This window comes from Homo sapiens, chromosome 1, assembly GCF_000001405.40.
Source record: "Homo sapiens chromosome 1, GRCh38.p14 Primary Assembly".
Taxonomy (NCBI): Eukaryota; Metazoa; Chordata; class Mammalia; order Primates; family Hominidae; genus Homo; species Homo sapiens.
Genome location: NC_000001.11, coordinates 81,797,244 through 81,816,564, shown reverse-complemented (window position 1 = coordinate 81,816,564; position 19,321 = coordinate 81,797,244). Strand labels below are relative to the sequence as shown.

The 19,321-nt window shown below is 37.1% G+C and overlaps 1 protein-coding gene across 64 annotated transcripts in view, besides 1 other annotated feature; it reads right to left on the bottom strand.

Moving 5' to 3' along the window:
• Window positions 1–19,321, bottom strand: part of ADGRL2 (adhesion G protein-coupled receptor L2) — a 687,801-nt gene that overhangs the window by 177,368 nt on the left and 491,112 nt on the right. For 11 of the 64 annotated variants that reach the window (XM_006710488.3, NM_001366006.2, NM_001350698.2 and 8 more), the window contains exon 1: window positions 15,497–15,631. The exons of 11 other annotated variants lie outside the window; for them this stretch is intronic. The gene's annotated coding sequence lies outside the window, so the exon portion shown is untranslated. Of the gene's footprint in view, window positions 1–4,641; window positions 4,723–13,262; window positions 13,293–13,828; window positions 14,113–14,335; window positions 15,124–15,496; window positions 15,632–15,803; window positions 16,190–19,321 lie in introns of those variants that run through there. 42 more of the 64 variants (XM_017000784.2, NM_001366005.2, XM_047416105.1 and 39 more) reach the window with 9 other exon arrangements.
• Window positions 11,865–12,507: an enhancer, noted in NCBI's record as "NANOG-H3K27ac hESC enhancer chr1:82269743-82270385 (GRCh37/hg19 assembly coordinates)". NCBI's record gives its function as "activates a minimal SCP1, AML or CMV promoter by ChIP-STARR-seq in primed H9 embryonic stem cells {active_cell/tissue: H9 hESC(primed)}" and the evidence as "EXISTENCE:reporter gene assay evidence [ECO:0000049][PMID:30033119]".

Genomic DNA, 19,321 nt, shown 5'->3' with positions numbered 1-19,321 from the left:
TTATATCCTGGTTCTCTTTAGGAGATCAAATAGTTTGCATGGCAAGTAGTGAAAAATGTTTTTTAAAAAAGAAAAAGGCCCTCAACCATCCATTCAGAAATGAGTAATATCAAACTATTAAAACATCTGAAGAAAACATTCTATAAGAGGAAATATTAAAAGTATTAAAGCAATATACAAAATAAAAAGTATTCTTAAGAATAGTGCAAAAATGTCTAGTAATATCATCAATTGTATAAACATCTGATAACATCAATTTTATACATACATAAGAGTTTATGGTGATTTATTCTTTATAAATAGGAAAAACTGACTTGAATAAAATAAGCTAACAAATCAAAGCTATATTTTCGTTTATTTTCAATTAAAAGCTAATATTATGGTGAATTAACTGCAACCTTGATATGCTCCTCTTGATTTTCACAGAATTAACAAGCAATAAGGAGAATGAGGCCATTAGTGTATGTAATCTACAAGATTTTCAATATTCTAAAAATACTTAAGTGATGCTTGCACTACAAGCTATTCAATTTAGTATTGTTCTAAGAGCTCATTCTTACTCCCTAATTTTTTTTTAGAAATACTCTTAAACTTATTAAAAATCAATCCCAAATGTTTTTAAGAAATGCAACTCCAGAAAATGTGAATTCTAAGATACTTATGCTTCGTTATCGGATGTTTTAATCATGTAATATTAACCTAAATAATCATTGTTTTAAATCTATTCTAATTTTAAGAAACCAATGACAGGTTTCCAAGCTGAAATGTCAGAGGACTTAGGTACTTCTTATTAGTAACACAATATAAGAAAATTAGTAAAAAATAAAACACATGAGGTATGAGGGAGTAACTACAGTATTAAAGTAGGTAAAGGTTATGTTTGACTATCAAGTTCATTATAATTCTATGTCACCCTATTTGTACAAACTGTCACCATAATTCTATAAAATATTTTAAGCAGTAATAATACTAATAAAGACTCTGATGAGAATCAACCCTAATTCTTACAGAGAATACAATGATAGAAAAGTGCTTTTGGAATGTATTCTTGAATACCTTACTGTGTTGTAGCTGTTATCTGAATCCTACAGAGCAACGAGATGAAACAAAGATTTTCTCGAGGTGAAATTCAAATACTTTCAAAAGTACAGGTATTTTTGCATTAGCCAAAGCTACTGTGGGCCACTAACTACTACTAAGAGATAACACAGCATGATGCTCTGTCAAATAGTAAAATGTTGGACTAAGTCTTTTCCTTGAACATAGCTAACTTTTTAGTTAAGGCCTCTGACACGAGTATTAACAACTACCTTTCCGCTTTGACTTATATTTGGTCAAAATAACAGTATCTTTTAAACCAACAATCTGATTTAAAGAGCACTAAAAATTAATAAATTTTCTAAACCATGACATAAAAACTCAGTGATTAAGTAATTTTAACAAATGGGTTTTTTCCCTTCTTAAACATGTATCTCAAAAAAAATAGTTTTAGCAATCATATTCCTATTAAAATGTATAACACACAAATATTAGAGACAAAGTTACCCATGAGTAGAAAGCATGAGTGTTTTTGTTCTGAATTTTAGGGATTTCCTTAGATGTTGTGTTTATTTTTAAATAAAGGTAATGCTACTGTGTTTAAATTTTTGAAGAAAATGTATAAAATTTTATGATTTATTCTCATTTTAAAATAACAAACTTGATATTCTAAGATTTTAACATTTCTCTTTAGCACAGCTTTGAATTAACAACATTACCTGAACACCACAAAATCTACTACATTCAGTGTAGATAATAAAAAGTATTTTTTATACCTTTGTTAAGATTTCAATTTGAGAAAATCTTTATTAAATAGGCAAAAGAAATGGCTTTGAAACATACAACAGGCAAAATGACACTAATATTGTTTATTTTTGTTCCTAAAATAAAAATATTAATTTCTAAATCCTGGGAATAACAAGAGCAATTTAAAATATTTTTTTCCAATACAGTTATTAAAACATGCAGGTTTATAATTTTGCATTCTAGACTCTTCATACACATATATAAATTTTCTAATCTTATTTAGGGTTTATCATATTCTTTGGTAACTTCCACTTAAAATGTTTAACATGTTCAAATATTTGACTCCCATTCTTATAAAATTTATATTTAAAATATTATTTCAAATCTACCCTCTTAATACATAATACTCTCACTTGAAGGACTATTCTTCATAATATATACTATTCATAATAGCTTATTATTTTAAAAACCAGTCTGCTCACACAGATGCAAGAACAATTAATATATACACATCTATGCTTAAATAATGTATATACAAAGGAGCAGAGAATGTTTTATCATAAATTCGTATTTTTTTATTATTAATTCAAGAATATGTGATAAAATTTTCTTTGATAATTTACCAAGATCATGGTTACTTTAAACCGAAAACCAGTTACCAATCTATTTCCTTGTCATAAACATCCCTAATAAAATACCAATAATACTTTTATGAGAACAATTAATTTGATTAACTTTTCAGTACAATTTCTTTTCAATGGATTCAGATTTCAGTATTTTAAAAATCGCTCAGTAGTCTACCTTCAAATTTAAGACAAAACAGGTAGAACTTACCCTAGCTGTGCCTTTCCAGTAACCTCACAGAAGTTATGCACTCTATGACAGTTACTGTGCCTCACATAACCATTTTCCTGGAATGAAATCTCCAGTAACCCTTACCTCACTGTGAAGGAGGTTTTAGTATTAGGGGGAAAAAAGGTAATGAACTATAACATCAGATCCCATTTTGCAGTGCCTATTATATTAAAAACCAGCTACGATAAGAAATATCTTTTTATATTATTTAAGACAATGACATAAATTTGGCAGTAAAGAGTATCTACCAATAATTGTATGGAAAAGAAGCATTTGTATACTTTTGTAAAACATACCATCTTAATCCTATTGAAATATAATTGCTGTTGCTAATATTCTTACCCCATTATAAAAATGCTCTGTATAAATGTGGCACACACTTGTTAAGATAATACGGGGCCACGCTGAGAGAATACTACTTATAAAAAAGCCCATACCAGTACCACAAATCTCTTTATTAAACAAGTTTCCTTACTTAGAGGATTATTCTTTGTCACAGTAACAATGTGACTTTTCACATTAGTAAAGATTAGCTACTAAAATAATAAATCTGAAACAAGGAATTTCATTAAGAAACGAAGCTTTTTAAAATGCAAAATAAATATTTTTGTCATATTATTACTTGATAAAATAAGAGAAATGAACTATTACATCTCTTTCCAAAGATACATAATGGATAATAACCTTTCTATTTTTTACCAACCAACAAGCAAATTCTAAAATAATGTTACTATACCAAAATGGAAAAATGAAAAGACTGGAATTGATTTTTTAATAAAATGTAATATAATATCCTATCATTAAATTTCCTGGCACAAATAAGTGTATGCAGGAAATATGAAAAATTCTACTCACTAAAAAATATCCAAATGCCTCTAAAAGCTTATCATCCTGCTTACCTAAACACCCGAATGAAAAACTCTCAAGTACTTCCCTAAGTATCTGGCTTACAATTCCTTAGAAATTCAGCTGGCACAGAGTCATAAACAGAATTCAGGTTTCAATCAAGTACTGTCTATTCTGCCTGCATTCATTTTTTTCCCAAGTTAGTCAGCAGTTTTCTAAATCATGTAATAGTAGGTCCTTATTAGTAGTTCCCGTGTTTTAATGTCATTGAACTCATGTCCATTATTGCAAGTAAAAGTCATTAAGCCAAAGCGATCGTTTTTCTGTTTAGAAAAGCACATATGCAACTCATCTAATCTGGTCTATTAATTAAATGTAGAGGAATGTAATACACTTTGATATGTTTAGTGGTCATTTAATAATATGTTACATATCTGGAAAATTACCTAAAAAGCTGGGATCTCTCTTGTAACAACTACTATGCATTTAAACAAGACAGTTCTGCAGTCATTCTCCCTGAGCTTTAGACAATCATAAATAAAAAATTATAATCTCAAAATGGATCTGGTATCTTTATTATATTTTAAGTTATTTTTAATCAAAAATATAATAAGGCACATTTGTAATCTGTGAATAAAGGAAATGATAAGGCACATTTGTAATCTATGAATAAAGGAAATGATAAACACAAGGCCTTTAGTACATTAAGTTGCACTATAATTTGGCTCATCTCAAAATGCCTTACTTTCTTTAGAACAATTTTTTCAAACAAAAATAAAAAATATTTTAATAAAACATAACTTTCAAAGGGAAATGTCAATTTATACTGCTTTGATTATTTCATCGCATATAAAAGCTCCCTCTGCAGGTAATAACAAGGTTTAGCAAAAATATTTGAAACGTGGGCAGTTACCTTAGTAAAAATGCAAGTCACCATTTTATAGAAATACTACTCTACTATCCAGCATTTTTCTCTCTTCCTTACCAATTACCTGATTAAAATAATTGCTCTTGAAAATCTGTGGTTCAACATGATTATTCTTGCCCTCCATCCTGGTTAAGATGGCAACTTGAGCAGACAGGATACACAAACTTTTCACAAAGTCACCCAAGACATACTCAGACAGTGTATTTCAAGGAAAAAGAAAACATTACCTTGCTTACACAGCACCAGCCTGAAATGATAGACCACTCCAAAAAAAAAAAGCTGCCCGGCTCATTTATCTGATTCATTTTCTGAACACAAAGTAAACAAAGGTAGCATCTTAGGATCAATTTAAAATCAAAGATAAAAGATCAATTTTAAATGAATGCAGTGCTAACTGTATTTTCTTCTTATTCTGAATAATTCTAAAATTTACACCTGGAGAGTATTTATGAAAAATCTATTTTCATTTCAATTAAAAAAAAACTGATCTGGGTTGCAAAATGCTCTTTACCCTTCTGTAATATGTTTTCAGAATTTGTTTTAGATTTGTTTACACAATGTGCTCTTCTGCCATATTCCTTTCCACAAGTATACAGAGATATGATGTGATGTATCTCTGCCAAGGGAGCAAAAAACAGAAAGTTAAGAACAGTTTCTAAGTCTCGGGGGCAACGTGTTATAAAAAACGTGTTGCTGCAGAACGCTGATGCCCCTCTCTCCCTTAAAATGTCTCGGTTCCAACATAAACATATCACCTTGATAACATGTAAATACTGACTGGAAATCTGAGGCAAAGCCAGTTTGACTTACCTAGAAATGAACTGACAGGCTTATAAGAAGTGACTTTTTAAAACTAAGGTTCTTATTGAACAAAGGAAAATTATAAGATATGCTAAAACATACAGAAATATCATACTGAGGTATCAGTTATATCTTTTCCCAATGAAACAAATGAGGTAAGAGGAACAGCAACAGCAAATCAGCAGTGTTTTTTGTGGGGTTTTCTGCTTAAGAAAAAGTAATCAAATTTTGTTTCATGTACATTTTTAGATATTCAGGCTGTAGATCTAGTTTAAAACCCGTAACAATATGAAAAGTCATTTCCGTGCAGGCTATGGGTATCATAGCACTTGTAGTAGAAAAAGCAAAGTGGGAGAACATTCCTATTTATTCATCTATTGAGCTATCAAGAGGAAGCACCTAATATTCAAACATTGTCTTCTTTGTGACAGAGAGAACTCTGAAAAGCGCAAAAAAGTTATATGTCCTTAGTAAAAGTGAACATGTCTAGGACATTATAATTTTAGTGTAATTTTTATTTGTCGACGCATATGAGGCAAAGTGACGTGTTTTAGAATTATGCTCATCTCTTTAATATTGGAGAGATGTATTATTTTCAGTACACGAATCTTCAGTATATCTTCTGTCATTTAATACATTAAGCCTTCATCAAACTAAAAAAAAATGTACAATTACTAGGACAAAAATACATAAGCATAGAATATTATCAAAATTAATGTTTCCCAAAATGTCTTAGATTTTAACCATAGGAAAGTCAGGAATTGTAAGAACTAAAATACGCCATAAGCATCCTGACATTAAGAACACAAAGATGAGTGGAGAAAATGGTACATAAGAAATGTGTTCTGTAATTTCTAATCAATAACCACAGTAGCAAACACTATAAAATGGTAGGCTTTTAATGCAGAGAAAATTTCCGTATGGATGGTAACCAGTTTAATAAAGGAGTAATAATTCCACATAGAAATACTTTGCTTCAAAGTAAAGACACAGGGAAACTCATTTTAAACATGATTATTTGTTATGTAAATTGAAGCTGAAAACTGATTAAGTAAACGTAGTCTGCATAAAACAGAAATATTGTATCAACTAAAAATTTTATCTAAAATCTTGTAATGGTTTGCCCATTATATGGAGAACTGCTGTCATAGTACTTACAATGTTAAGAATAAATGATTAGAATTAGAACTTACTTTATGAAGAAAACAGAATTCTCTTTTGTTCGCTCTATAAATAGACACTATTTACTATCATCTTCAAGAGAAAGCATTAGTCAAAACAAGGTCACCTAACCCACCCCCAGCAGTCAAGTGCCATTTTTGACAGTAATTGAGGTTAGATTATGCTGTCATCTAAATCCAGAGTAATAACTAGCTTGAGGTGTGGACTGATGTAAAAATACCTATAAAAGGAGGCAAAGTGTGGATAGTACAAGCATTTCTCAGTCCACAGGCAGGAGATATAGATATATTTGACAGCAAAACAGATATTTATGTCATACCATTTTCAAAATCAGTTTTAAAAGAGATATCTTAATCATACATATTTTACATTTTGAACTTCCTAATTTTTAGCCAACAATAAACAACAAGTATTGATATATACAGAGAAACAGACTATAAAATGTGTGTTTATGTATGTACATATGTGTGACCAAGAAAGGGGTTAACAAGTACTACCTAACAATTGAAAATAGCAAAATTAAGCCCATTTTTATTAGGAACCTCATGGTGCATCCTTCTTCGCTAGTATGATGGCTGAAGATTTTTCTTATTCATTCAGAAAAAAAGACAGGATTGTATCTGGTTTTGTTCTAACAAATTAACATGTGCTTGAATTGATGCTAAGTCTAAAGTTAACCATCTTTTCAACTTCTCCCATCTCTCATAGCCAAGAACTAATAGTTCATTTTTATCTCCATCTCTTTTTTTATCAGATTTAAAAATATATATAAATGTTACTTAATGCATTTTAAAACAGAATTAAGACTTGGTCACATATTTCAGGAAGTTAACATCTGCCTAACCTACCCAATTTTTAACAATATATTTCTGTTTTTATTAAAGTACTAAATCTACCGCAAAAAAAGTCCTCCAAAGACTTTTTAGCCTTAAATAGGCTTCTTTTAAGATAACTAATTTCAACACTGAAATTCAAAGATTAAGGTGTAATCCCTGTGTCTGAATTTTAATGATTATAATGTACTCCTCACAGATTGGAAAAATCAATGACAAAACCAACAGGGGCCACGTTTTGCTCAGCATACGTTTTCTTGTCAGGTCGTGATTAATGCTGTGCTCTGTAGAGGGAGACATTACATCTGGGCTAAAACAGACCTAAACTTTACCCTCAGGCAGAAATCTGATTTAAACATCTCTATTTAAAGTGACATTTGTCCTCCCCTTTCAACTATTTTCCCTAGAAATTCCAGGAAGTTGACTTCATGACCTAAAAACAGCCGGTGGCTTTGAGTAGCGGTTGTGCTTGTTCCTGCACTTCCGTAAATCTGGGTGCCAGAATTAATCAAGGTGGTAATAAAACAGGTGCCCAGCTATCTGCTACGATGAATCCCATGCTACTTTATTGCCACAGGAATTTGGGATTTAGAATTCAATGTAATTCTAGAATCAGTAGTAAGAATTGCCAAAATGTATTTTGGTCGCTGATAATAACCTATTTATATCTTATAATGGAGTAGGTTTCTTTTGATTCTTAAGATTACACCTGATATTTCACTAATCTAAAATATCAACTGATAATAAATCCAAGGAATATGGAAAAGCAACTACTTAAAAACAAACCTCTAAAATAAATGAGAATATGCCAGTGGAAGTAGTTTCTCGTATGTCATGCAATAGCTTTCATAAAAACAAAACAAAAATGAAAAGCAGAAAGAAAAAACTCTGCATCTAACAAAAGTCACCAAGAAAACAAATGTATGCATATCAAAACTGGCGCCAATATCCTTACACTGTGAACATGGTAACTTTTGATATTATTAAGCAATGTAGACACTGCTGGCGAGTTCCTACAAACCAAGGTAATCTAATTTCTGTTGTTTTTCAACCTAAATTGATTTTTTTTCTTTTAGTCATTCTGGTAATTGAACAAACTTATATAAGTGTGATGGGATTTTACTTACTACCAGACAATGCATAAAATTATCTGTGAAGACAAACTATATTACTTCATAAAACTGCATTTTCGTTGTAATTAAACAAATTGTATTTAAACTTGCTTTCTACTTCCAAACCAATCAATAGTATTTTGCTATAAGCTGCACTTTACTTGCAGATGTTAAGCGCTTGGTTCCTTTATTCCATCTACTTTTTTTTTCCTTTAGATAATGTTTATTTGTCAAATATAGGAGGTTTTTTGTAAAAAAATAATAATAATAAAATAAGCTTTTAAAAAACTGTTGGATAAGAATATATCAAAAAATATCTACAAATTATTGCCTACTTAGTGCAGCAGATATATGATCTCAGGAAAAAAATGTTAAATATTTTTGATTAGGATCTCCCTTTTCTCATGACACCGTGACTCACACACACACACAAAAATACTTACATCAAAACAATCAAAACATTAAGAAAATTTCTATACTTAACATGCTTAACAAAACCTATATACTACACTCAAAATACCAAATTAAAGTCCTGAGTAAAATTTAGGGTTGACAGACCCTTGTTACTCCTTTAGAAATTACCACACTAAGTCAAGGATTATAATTCCCTAATTCCAATAATTAACTGTTCATCTCTGTGTTAAAGAAACTATTTCCTTAAGCTTTTTCTTAAAGCATTAAAAAATATAATCACTACCTGGCCAATCTTTGAGAGCATCTTAGGCAGCAAAAAGATTTTAGAGAATAGTCTCAATTTATTTTTGTGACAGCATCAAGCCTAATTACAATAATCTGAGTGATTAAATACTTTTCAACCTTTCAACCTTCAATCAAGAATTATTTGAAGAGATGAATATTTGGGTGGGGCTATAGAATAATTAGTCTTATGTAAGACAGAAGTAAACTAGCCTATGATTTTAATCTATCTTGGAAATATAAATATTCTAATCTTTGTTAAAAATAGCAACAAAAGTTATCCATTTAGGTTACATTAACTCATATTTAATCCATAGGAACTGATATGACCAAAACATTCACAGAACTTCAACTCCTTTTCAGCTCTTAGTAGCTAAACTTGCTATTTTTAATGCTTTATCGAAATCTATCAATTTGAAAAGTTTTTAGCTAGGCATTTTTGCAAATAATCTTGAAGAACCATTTTTTTGTAACGATGCATTTTATTTGCAAAATATATTACCTTAAAAATAATTGCACTTATTTTTTACATAAATCTTTTCTGCAGAAAAGCAGACAGACATCAAATGCGCATCTCTCCCTTCAAGACTCAAAATCAGATATGGTGAAACAGTAAGAGGCAAAAGTGCTACAGTCTTTGAAGAAACTTTTGTAAAAATAGCACCTTATGTGAAACTAAATTCCTCCATTTCCAAAGCTATCTTTCATTCTTAATCTAAGTAACCCTTAATCTATGTTCTTAAATATCAGCATTGGGCAAGCGGTATGGATTGTTAAAATGAAAACAGATTTCTTTTAGGTAGGTACAAGTATGTTTAACCTACATCTTAGAATTCCACCTACAACTGTCAATAAACTGAGTGTTATTTGAATATTCACAAAAGTGAGGTCAAATAAATATTTTGATAGAAAATAAAGCAATAACATTTTATTACTATGGTTTGTAGATTTCTAGTTACCTCTTGACCTTCATGACATCTCAATCTCAATTCACATATTCTTATATTAAGATACTAAAACGCTATTTTAAATTTAATGAAACACAGAAAGCTTCAATAATGATCAAATAAAGATTAACCCTAAGTAAACCTTAGTTTTAAAGCTCTCTTCTAGCTCATTTCAAAAAAGGAAACACCCAGAAGCCTGGTGTTAATGTTTCTGCTGATTGTGAAAATTGCAGCAGTAAAAACCCCAACTGTTTGTCTTAAATTTAGACTTGTATTACTGCATGTGAGATCTGTATATTTACATTAGTTTTTATAACATTTGGAAGTTTTGTTGCCTGCTTTGATGTTAGTCCATTAATAAAGCAGACAGTCAAAAGCCTGGAAAAAATTATACTTATTGGAAATTCTCAAGTCAAAACTTGAAGTAATTGGTTTGTTCTACCCCACATGATTCAATATTCTGATTTCCCCAACTACCTGCTCCCAGAGCTATCTCCATTTCTAAATTCGTTTTCTGTTGCCAACACATAGTAACCCAGTGATTGAAAATGGCAGCTGAAGTTCTTCTACAACACATTAATTTTTCCCTAAGTAGTCCAATTTTGTCATCTAAATGTTGAAAAATCTTCTTTTCACTACATTTTGCACCTTTAGAGATTTACTGAATTCAAGATCACCCTCACATAAAGTGAAGAGCAATGTTTTCAAGACAATTTTTAGATTATCACTAATAGCTGTAAAGGATAATGTTGTTTTCTTTATAACACTCTGCATTCAAAGCAGACTAGTTAACAGCAACTTAAGTGCAATAATAGCAATTACATCAATGTGGCCTTTTTTTTTTTTTTTAACCACTAAAGTACTTCCTAGACAAGTGAAGGGATCAGATAAATAAACTACCATAAAATAATTTCAGGGTAAGGATATAATGATATACAATCTCAATGGCACAGAAAAAAAAACCCTAATTGTAATCCAAAAAAAAAGGATCATCCGATTACACTTAAGCTAAAAATGTTAGGCAATTAATGATAGTTTTTCCCCTCTGAAATTGTTATATTGGAATTCATTTTCATTAATAAAATAAAAGCAAGGAGTTTGAACATTAGTAAATGAAAGGTTATCAATTCATATTCAAAAGCAACCAAACATCTAAGGTAAAACTATAAAAAATATGAGCTTACATCTCCAAAAAAGTCTCCCCTGAAATTCATTTCCATCTTAGAATTAAGTTTTGTAAATTCTTAAGTCAAATAAATAAAACTAATTCTTCCCAAGAAATTGAAGATAAAAGTTCCCCCTTGACCCATCTGCACTTGATAACTAACCCAAATGACCCAAGCACTTGTTCTTTTTTTCATTCATGGATATTGAATTGTTAAAAGAAATTCAAAGATATGTTCTCTCTGTAAACATAAAAAAGCAAGAACAAATAAACTATATTTTTTAAAATAAACCAACTGAATACTAGAGTTTACTGTTTGACAAGATACAAAAATTTTGAAACAAAACAATATTTAAACAGAATTATCTATTTAAATAGAATTCACAAAAATTTGAATCTTCACTTAAAAAAAACTTTTCCAAGCTTCTTTTTGCAACAGAAGTTGTGTCAAGTTCATTTGAGGTTTTAATTTTCAGCATCCTCCGCTGACTTTTTCCCTATTTATTTAGCACATAAAAAACAGTTACCTACGTGTACAAATGAGTCTTTTAATCACAAAATTTCTATTGTTTTAGAGACTAATTAAAAACTAATTAAGTGGCCTTTTCATTTTACTAATAAAACAAAGTGTAGTTCCTAAAAAAGCATTAAGTTAGAAGGAAAGGCTTTCTCACTCTCTCTTACACTGAAGGGACCCCAAAAGACAGGCAACAGTGACTATCATAAAACAAAAGGTCACTCTTTTTCTAGGAACAAACCATTTATCAATAGAAAATAATTGTCTTGCCATTTGCAAGGGCTCCACAGCAATAGACAATGTTTTTGGCCCACATAACTACAAAACAGTAAAAGTTCAGAAACACAGCCTGAATCCACCTCCCTATTTTTACCCTTTACAATTCTCATTGCCCTTTGGGCCTCCGCTTGGAAGCAAAAGGAAGACAGGCTGAAGTTTTCTCAATTGAGCTAAAGCTAAGAAACCTTTGATATGCTAATAGTCCCCTTCAAACGGTAAGAATTCACACTTGCATTAATTCAAACAATTTGTGCAGAATGATGTGAAATGGCACCTCTTTTAGAGGCAAACAACAAAAGGAGAGAATCGGAATGTCTGAAGAAACTAAACAACAGAACATTTGTTCTGTAGTATTCTTTCTATTATGCATAAATTTATGGAAGGGTGGAGGGAGAGACAACAAAACGTTCCATAACACACCTGGACAGAAGTAAATTTTCTTTTAAAGGGTTTCTCAAGTATTACGAAGATACAAAATTTAAAGTTACAAAGTACCCTTAGTTAGGTCAAAACAGTCCCATCACAAGTTGGAATGTTGCCACAGATGAGTACCAAAACTATTCTATTTTTCTGCTCTGGATGCATATTGCCTCTTTAGTGCCTATTTTCTAAGGTTTGCCCAAGATCAAACCTGACTTAGCAAGAGACAACCTAACAGGTAATTATTTACCAAAGGATGTGACTTTCTTCATTGTGCAACTTCGTTGAGCAAAGAGCAAACTCGGTGGGACCCGTTCCACACATAAATAGTGACAGAGAAATGAATGAATCAACTACGTCCGTTAAATCTATGCCTCTGGAAAGGGGAAGAGAAGTGCACGTACTGAAAGAATGCAGAATAAAATCAAAGAATTGAGGGCGGGGTGGGGAAGAGAGTGCCTTAGAACCTGGCCTTTGTAACGGGAACCATATGGTTGGTAGCTGCAGCTCAGACGCTCCCAGGCTGCTTGGGAGAAGCTGCTAAGCAGCCTGACACCTTTCAAGAAACAGGAGGAAAACATTCCCTCGGTCGGAATCTGAGACAACAGTTTGTATCGGGAAGAACGGAATGGAGGGCGGGGAGAGGGAGAAAAGATGAGGAGGAGGAGTCCCTAAAAAGAGAAAGGCTATGATAGATACCGCAGGACTTGTCCCTCCCAACTATTCTTTGAGAGCACAGAGTGAACAGAGGATTGGAGGGGGGGAAAAAAAGCCTCCACTCAGCGACACTTTAGCATTAAGTAAAGCTTCCAGTATTCTCCCCTCACCCCCACCCCGCAGTCTGGCGAAAGGAACAAACTTTACGGGTCCCAAGCGCAGAAGTCTCGCAGGCGCACCTCCACACTGCTGGGGCGCTTCCATGGTTTGGCTCGCCCTCGCCCCCTCTGCCTGAGGGTCGCCCCAGCCAATCAAGGAGCCCACGCTCGGGCAGCGCGGGGGTCTCCCCTTCCCTCGCGCTCCTCCCACGCCTTTCTCTCGTCGCCACTCCCCAGTGGCACCCCCATCCCACAAACCAAGCTCCCGAGGCTCCCTGCCCCACAGCCACTCCAGCAGCATACACTCCGTAACTTCTCCCGCAGGCCCAACGCGGCCCGCTGCTGCCCTCTCACTGCGGCTCCGGGAGGCTCTCTGCCCTCCCCGTGGCCCGCCGGGTCCCCGGCCCCTGCACCCTCCCGACCCACGAGGCCGCCCTGGCAGCAGCAGCCCCGCCGCTCCCAATCGTAGCCAGTCCCGGCGGCGGCCCGACCACATCTGGCTGCGCTTTACTGTCATCCTCGCCTCCCCACACCACCTAACCACTGACGAGAAGGAACAGCAACCCTCAAAAACTCGTCCAAGCCCTCCCCCACCGTCCACTTCCCCCGAACTCGCTCCAGCCGCTCAGCCTCCCCGCTCCACTTACAGTGCGGGACCGGAGGGCAAAGCGGGCGGGACGCTGGGGTGGCCCCGGGCCCCAGCGCCCGGAGCAAATAAGCTCCGCCGAGGACGCGCTTCACACTCCTCCTCCCCAGGCCCCCAGTGAAAGGACGGGCGGAACCTTGCGACCCCAAGCTTTTATGAAATTAAAAAATGCATGGCTACGGGAGCCTCATCCTAACCCCCTTGCCAGCGCCCCCGGCAACTAGACTGATGCCTGGAGAGCGTTACAATGGCTCCACGAGAAAAGGAGAAGCCGGCTGGACCGGACTGAGAGTTCTGCGGATCGATTTCCAAGAGGAGATTGGGGGGAGGGAGCGAGCAGCCCGAGCGAGCGCGGGTCTCCCCCTGGGCCAGCCGAACAGCAACAGCCGAGCCCCATTAACCCGCGGCTCCCTGCGCCTCCAGCATCCACCCCCGGACTGGAGGCGCAAAGCAAACAGGTCTCCGAAGCTGGGCACAGAGGCACATTGTTCGCTCCTGCGGCTCTTACCTCCGTCTGCGAGCGCGCCCCGAGGGAGGGCCGTCTGGCGTGGGGGCCGCGCGGGGACAGGCGCGGAGGGCAGCGGCTACCCCGGCCGGAGAGGGCCGAGGCCGGCCGCGAGCGGGTCCTCGGCCGCCGAGTCCGCGCGGGAGGCAGCGCCGCAGCTCCCCGGCCGGACACGGCGCCGCAGCTCGGCGCGTCCTCCTGCTCGGCCGCCGCCGCCTCCAGCCGAGCAGCCAGCGCCGGGCGGCTCCTGGGGTTAAGTCAACATTTTCCCGCAGTTTCCCACACGCCGCTCTTCGAGAGAGGTCTTTCACACACACGCACACACCCCCAGACCGCACGCTCCCTTAGGAAAAAAAAATCGGGAATCAGAGCGAAAGGGGTGGTGGAAGCAAAAGCCTGACAGAGGTGCGCAGACTTGGGAGTCCCTTCGAAGCGACGGGCGGGAGGGCGCCGGGGGCGCGAGGCCAACTCAGTTTGTCAGGCGAAGCCCCTCAGCCCCCCGAGCGCCCGGCCGGAATAGCATCCCTCGCGCCGACCCTGCGGCCTGGGGCGGGAGGCGGCGGCGACCCCTCCTCACATTTCGGATCTCCCGGCCGGGGCTGAGCGGTGGCCGCTGCCCCAAGGAAGGCTGGCGGCGCAGACTCGGGCTCGGGGAAGCAAGGAGTAGCCGGGAAGAGCCACGCCACACACAGCAGCGGAGGGGAGATGCCCCCCAACAATCCCAAGGAATTCTCTGGTAAGCTCCCGATTTCGCCCCAGCACCTCTGCGTGTGTGTGAGCGGAGAGAGAGTGAGAGGGAGCGAGAGGGAGAGAGAGAGAGACGGGGGAATGCGAAGTCCTGACACAGACTCTCCGCGAGGTCTGAACTGGAGTCACCTCCAGCCTCCTCCTCCTCCTTCCCCCAAATCCGCCCTCCCCGCCAGTTGGGCTAATCATATAAACATACTAGCGTGTACAGCGTCAAAGGACAAATCTCTCCCTCCTGAGTTTTCCAGCAAGGGGCTCGGGCAAACTCAAAAGAAGATTACAGGCAGCTAAGTACAAAACGTGGAGCAGATAATCTATAACTCATTGTCGCCCAATGGCCGTTTTCCACTCCATTTGAGCAGCTGCTGCGGCTGTGCGCCCAAGCGGCGGGGAGGAGGAGCGAAAGGGGATACTTACGGGCTCGAGCCCTTCGGACGGCGGTGGCGGTGGCCAAGCAGCCGCCCGAGGACCAGGCCGGCCCCGGCTCCGCCGGCGGGGCGGCCGCAGGGCTGTCCGGGCGGCGGTGGCGGCGAGGGACGCGCGCGCACGGCCGTGGAACGCGCCCCGGAGGCGGCCTGCGCCAGCTCGCGCCCCTCCCCTTCTCTCCCCTCCCAGTCGGTTCGCGCTCCCCCTACCCCCAGGTCCCCGAGCTCTGCCTCCAGCTCCCCCCATTAACACACCCATTCAACCGCTAACCCCTAGCCCACCCCCAAACTCCACTCACTGCGCGCTGGGTCCTCCGCGCGCTCCGCCGGCGCGCGCTCTCCATCCTGTCCACACACATGCACTTTAAAAACATTTATTTTATTTCTGGAGTGGGTGAAGAGTATTTGGGAGAGCGCCGCGAAGCGCGGCGCTCCGAGGCTGAGCGCAGGGGGATGACCAGCGGCTCGGGGCCCCCTCCCCTCTAGGCCCAGGAGCTTGCTCCCGGCCTGGACTTCGGAGAGGCGCCCGGGATGCGTCTTTCACCCACCCCGTCTCCAGGTTTTCTCTTTTCTCCACGCACCGAGCCAGAGGCCCCGAAACTTTTAGTTTCCGTAGCCCTCCTTTTGTGTAACTGCATGGAGGAGAAAGAACGTCTGTTCGCCGCGGCTGCCTCCGTCCGGCTGCGGCGCGCGGGGGACGCTCCAGGGTTAATGCGTCTTTGATACCTGAGATTTCCGGCGCGCTCGTTAATGAAAGTTACATTTTTTTAAATTGCGATGATTTTTTTCTTTGTAGTTACGTAGAGCCAGCTAAACTTTGACTTTATTGACTATATTTCACAAGAGCGTTTTGTTTGTTTTTGATTAAACTCACCAGGATAAGCAAAGGAAGGAAAGGAGACTACAAGGCTCTTTACTCTCAAGTATAGTCACAGAGCTGTTAGGTCTGTTTCCCTCATTTCCTTACATTGAAACTGCCTTTGCTCTTGTCCTCTGAACACACTTCCTTGCCCCTCTCGGTTGGCAATGTCAGCAAACAGCCAGGCAGAGCCTACGATGGACCTAAGCTGAAAGGAACAGAGCAGGACAGGGCGAATCACGCTGGAAAAACGTTTAAAAGCCAGTTAAGTGTCCTGTGCATGCCACAAAATTCAAACATGGATTTTTTTTTTATTGCAAAATTTCTGAGCTGGAAGCAGCTATGTTTTCAGATGTATTTGTAAACCACTGATTCTACTAATGAATGCAGCCATCAATTAAATAAGCATATTTACCTTTTTTTCAAGAAAAAAATGATTCTCCAATATTTAAAACCTAGAAAGTAGGATAAAACTTAAGCTGCTTTGCTTTCAGAAACAATAGGTACTTTTTGGTGCTGCAGGAATGTTGCAAGCATCATACTTCAGGAATCATTCCAAACAATGTTATTAATATGTCAACAGCAGATTGTTCAAAATACATGAAGATCCTAAATACCTATCAGTATTTTGTCAGAAAGCCAGATAGGTGTAGTACTAAAGTAAATCCAATCCAACTACTGGTCAAGTTTGTTCTTGACTTGTAGGAAATCATAGGTTAAATGTACGTGTGTCCAAATAACTAGAACATGTTCTTTTGGTGGTTTCATTGTAATTCTCAGATTAAAAAAGAACCTTTGATAATCTAATTTCTTCTACCTGATGTATTGATGTTTTAATATTCTCACTATTTCAAAAGATAAAAGGAGCAACTTAGAGCATTGGTGCTTTAAACTACATACACACTTACATCTGGAATTTCTTACATAACATAATTCAAATATTAACCACGCAGGATATAAACTAGTCTGGATAAAGTACACTTATGCAGAGCTGGTGCAAAACCTTATAACGTACCTAAGTTTTTACATATGTCAAAATACATACATACAACAGATCTACCTAGCAAAATTAAATCAGGCTACTTCAAGTCGTTGAAAAGAAGGCAGAATTATCTAATTCTCAGACCTCAGAGGTAATTTTATGATCTTCTTAGGAATATAAAATTATTTCATTCAGGATTGCAAAAGAGAATAAGTCAAACTGATAGTAACTTGCATTTACCAAAATATTTTAGCCCTTCTTTGTTCATCTTTGAAGGTTTTCACTCATCTGGGCACCATTCACAAAAGCCCCAATGAGTGCATGCATCAGTCTAATCCTATTTTCTTTTGGGAAGCAAAACTTAGGCTGAAGTTTTTATTTAGTGAGCTTAGTAAGTAATCAATAGACATTTTTGCCTGAATTAAGCTGGCCATATGTTGGCTCATTTACTTATTTATTTAACTCTCTCAGAAATAATCTCTGGAAAAACCCATTATCTATCTGCATGATATATTTGACATTCTTTGATGCTCAGGACATAAGTGAATCACTCTTCACTGTATTCTTAAAGAGACAATATCACAAAAAAGGAGGATGCTTGGAAGGGGGAAGAATTTATCAAAAGTGAATTAAAATTATACAAACTAGAAAAATGCCCCATAGAAGTTTCAAATCTTATTTCAATAGGATGTGTATTCTATAGAGTTCAAAGAGTTCCACACTTTTCTCCTAAAAATATAATAGACTTGCTATGTTTTAAAATTACATTTAAGAATACTGCTTGTGTAAGACAATGTTTTAAATATTAAAGATTTTTAATTATTTCTTTATTCTTTAGAGGTAATACTTCAACCTTCTTTGTATATCCACAAAGAAGAATTGAAATAGTGTTTAATTATATTGCTAGATTCAAGATTAAGCTGTTAGCCACAAACCTGCCATTACAAAGGAACACTTAAAAGGCACACACCATAGAGTATATCTACATTCAAAAAACATAATTTACCTGGCACTCTCTGACAATTCATAACATAATTTATAACAATACAGGTGTTATGGTAGAAAAAAATGAAATGAGAAGCTTAATAATATCTACAGATGTGTGCAAGTTAAGGAGAGTTGGAGTATGTTACGCATTCCCTGCAATCCAATCAATTTAATTACTCAATCTATATTGTTATTTAAGTAATGGCAAAATCATTGACTTATTCATAATAGTTGCTAATTGTTTTTTAAAATAAATTCTACAAAGGACAAAGGAAACACCCATTTCCATTTGTTTTATGTTAAATCAACATATAACCACTCATGGTGATTTCATTCAAAGAAAACAGAAGGAACTCATTAGCTTATGTGGTTAGAGAGATTGATGGGCTTCAAACATTTTAACCATACATGTTTTTTCCAACTGTAGAAACTCATGTTTTTAATTTTAGTAACCTTAAGAAACTGAAGATTATTTTATTCAGTGGGTTCATATATTTCTGGTACAGACGTTATGCTAATTTTTAAACTGAGATTTATCATCTAAGTATCTTTGTTTATAGGGAAGTGATCAGGCACTTGTTAAAATATACATAAGAATAACAGCAGTTTGAGTAACAAAGAATCTGAAATAGTATGAAAATGGACATAGGTGCAGAATATTGTGATTAGTGTAAGCCAATAGAACACAGTATCACTTTCACTGCCCTACTCTGGCCAATGGCTATAGCTAAGACACTTCTAAAAGGGTCAGGGGTTGAAGGGAAGAGGTATTGAGGCTTGAGAGTAGGCCAAAAACTGCCATTAAGTTTGAGCAACACAGTTATAGAAAACTATTAAGGAGGGACGGTTGTATCTATTATGGGGAGTGTATTTTTGCCTGTGATTAGAGTTTGTGAAACTCTAATTTTGTTTCAAAAGAAACAAAATTTGTTTTCAAAAGAAAATTGTTTCAAAATTGTTTCAAAAGAAACAAAAAACACGTGGAATGA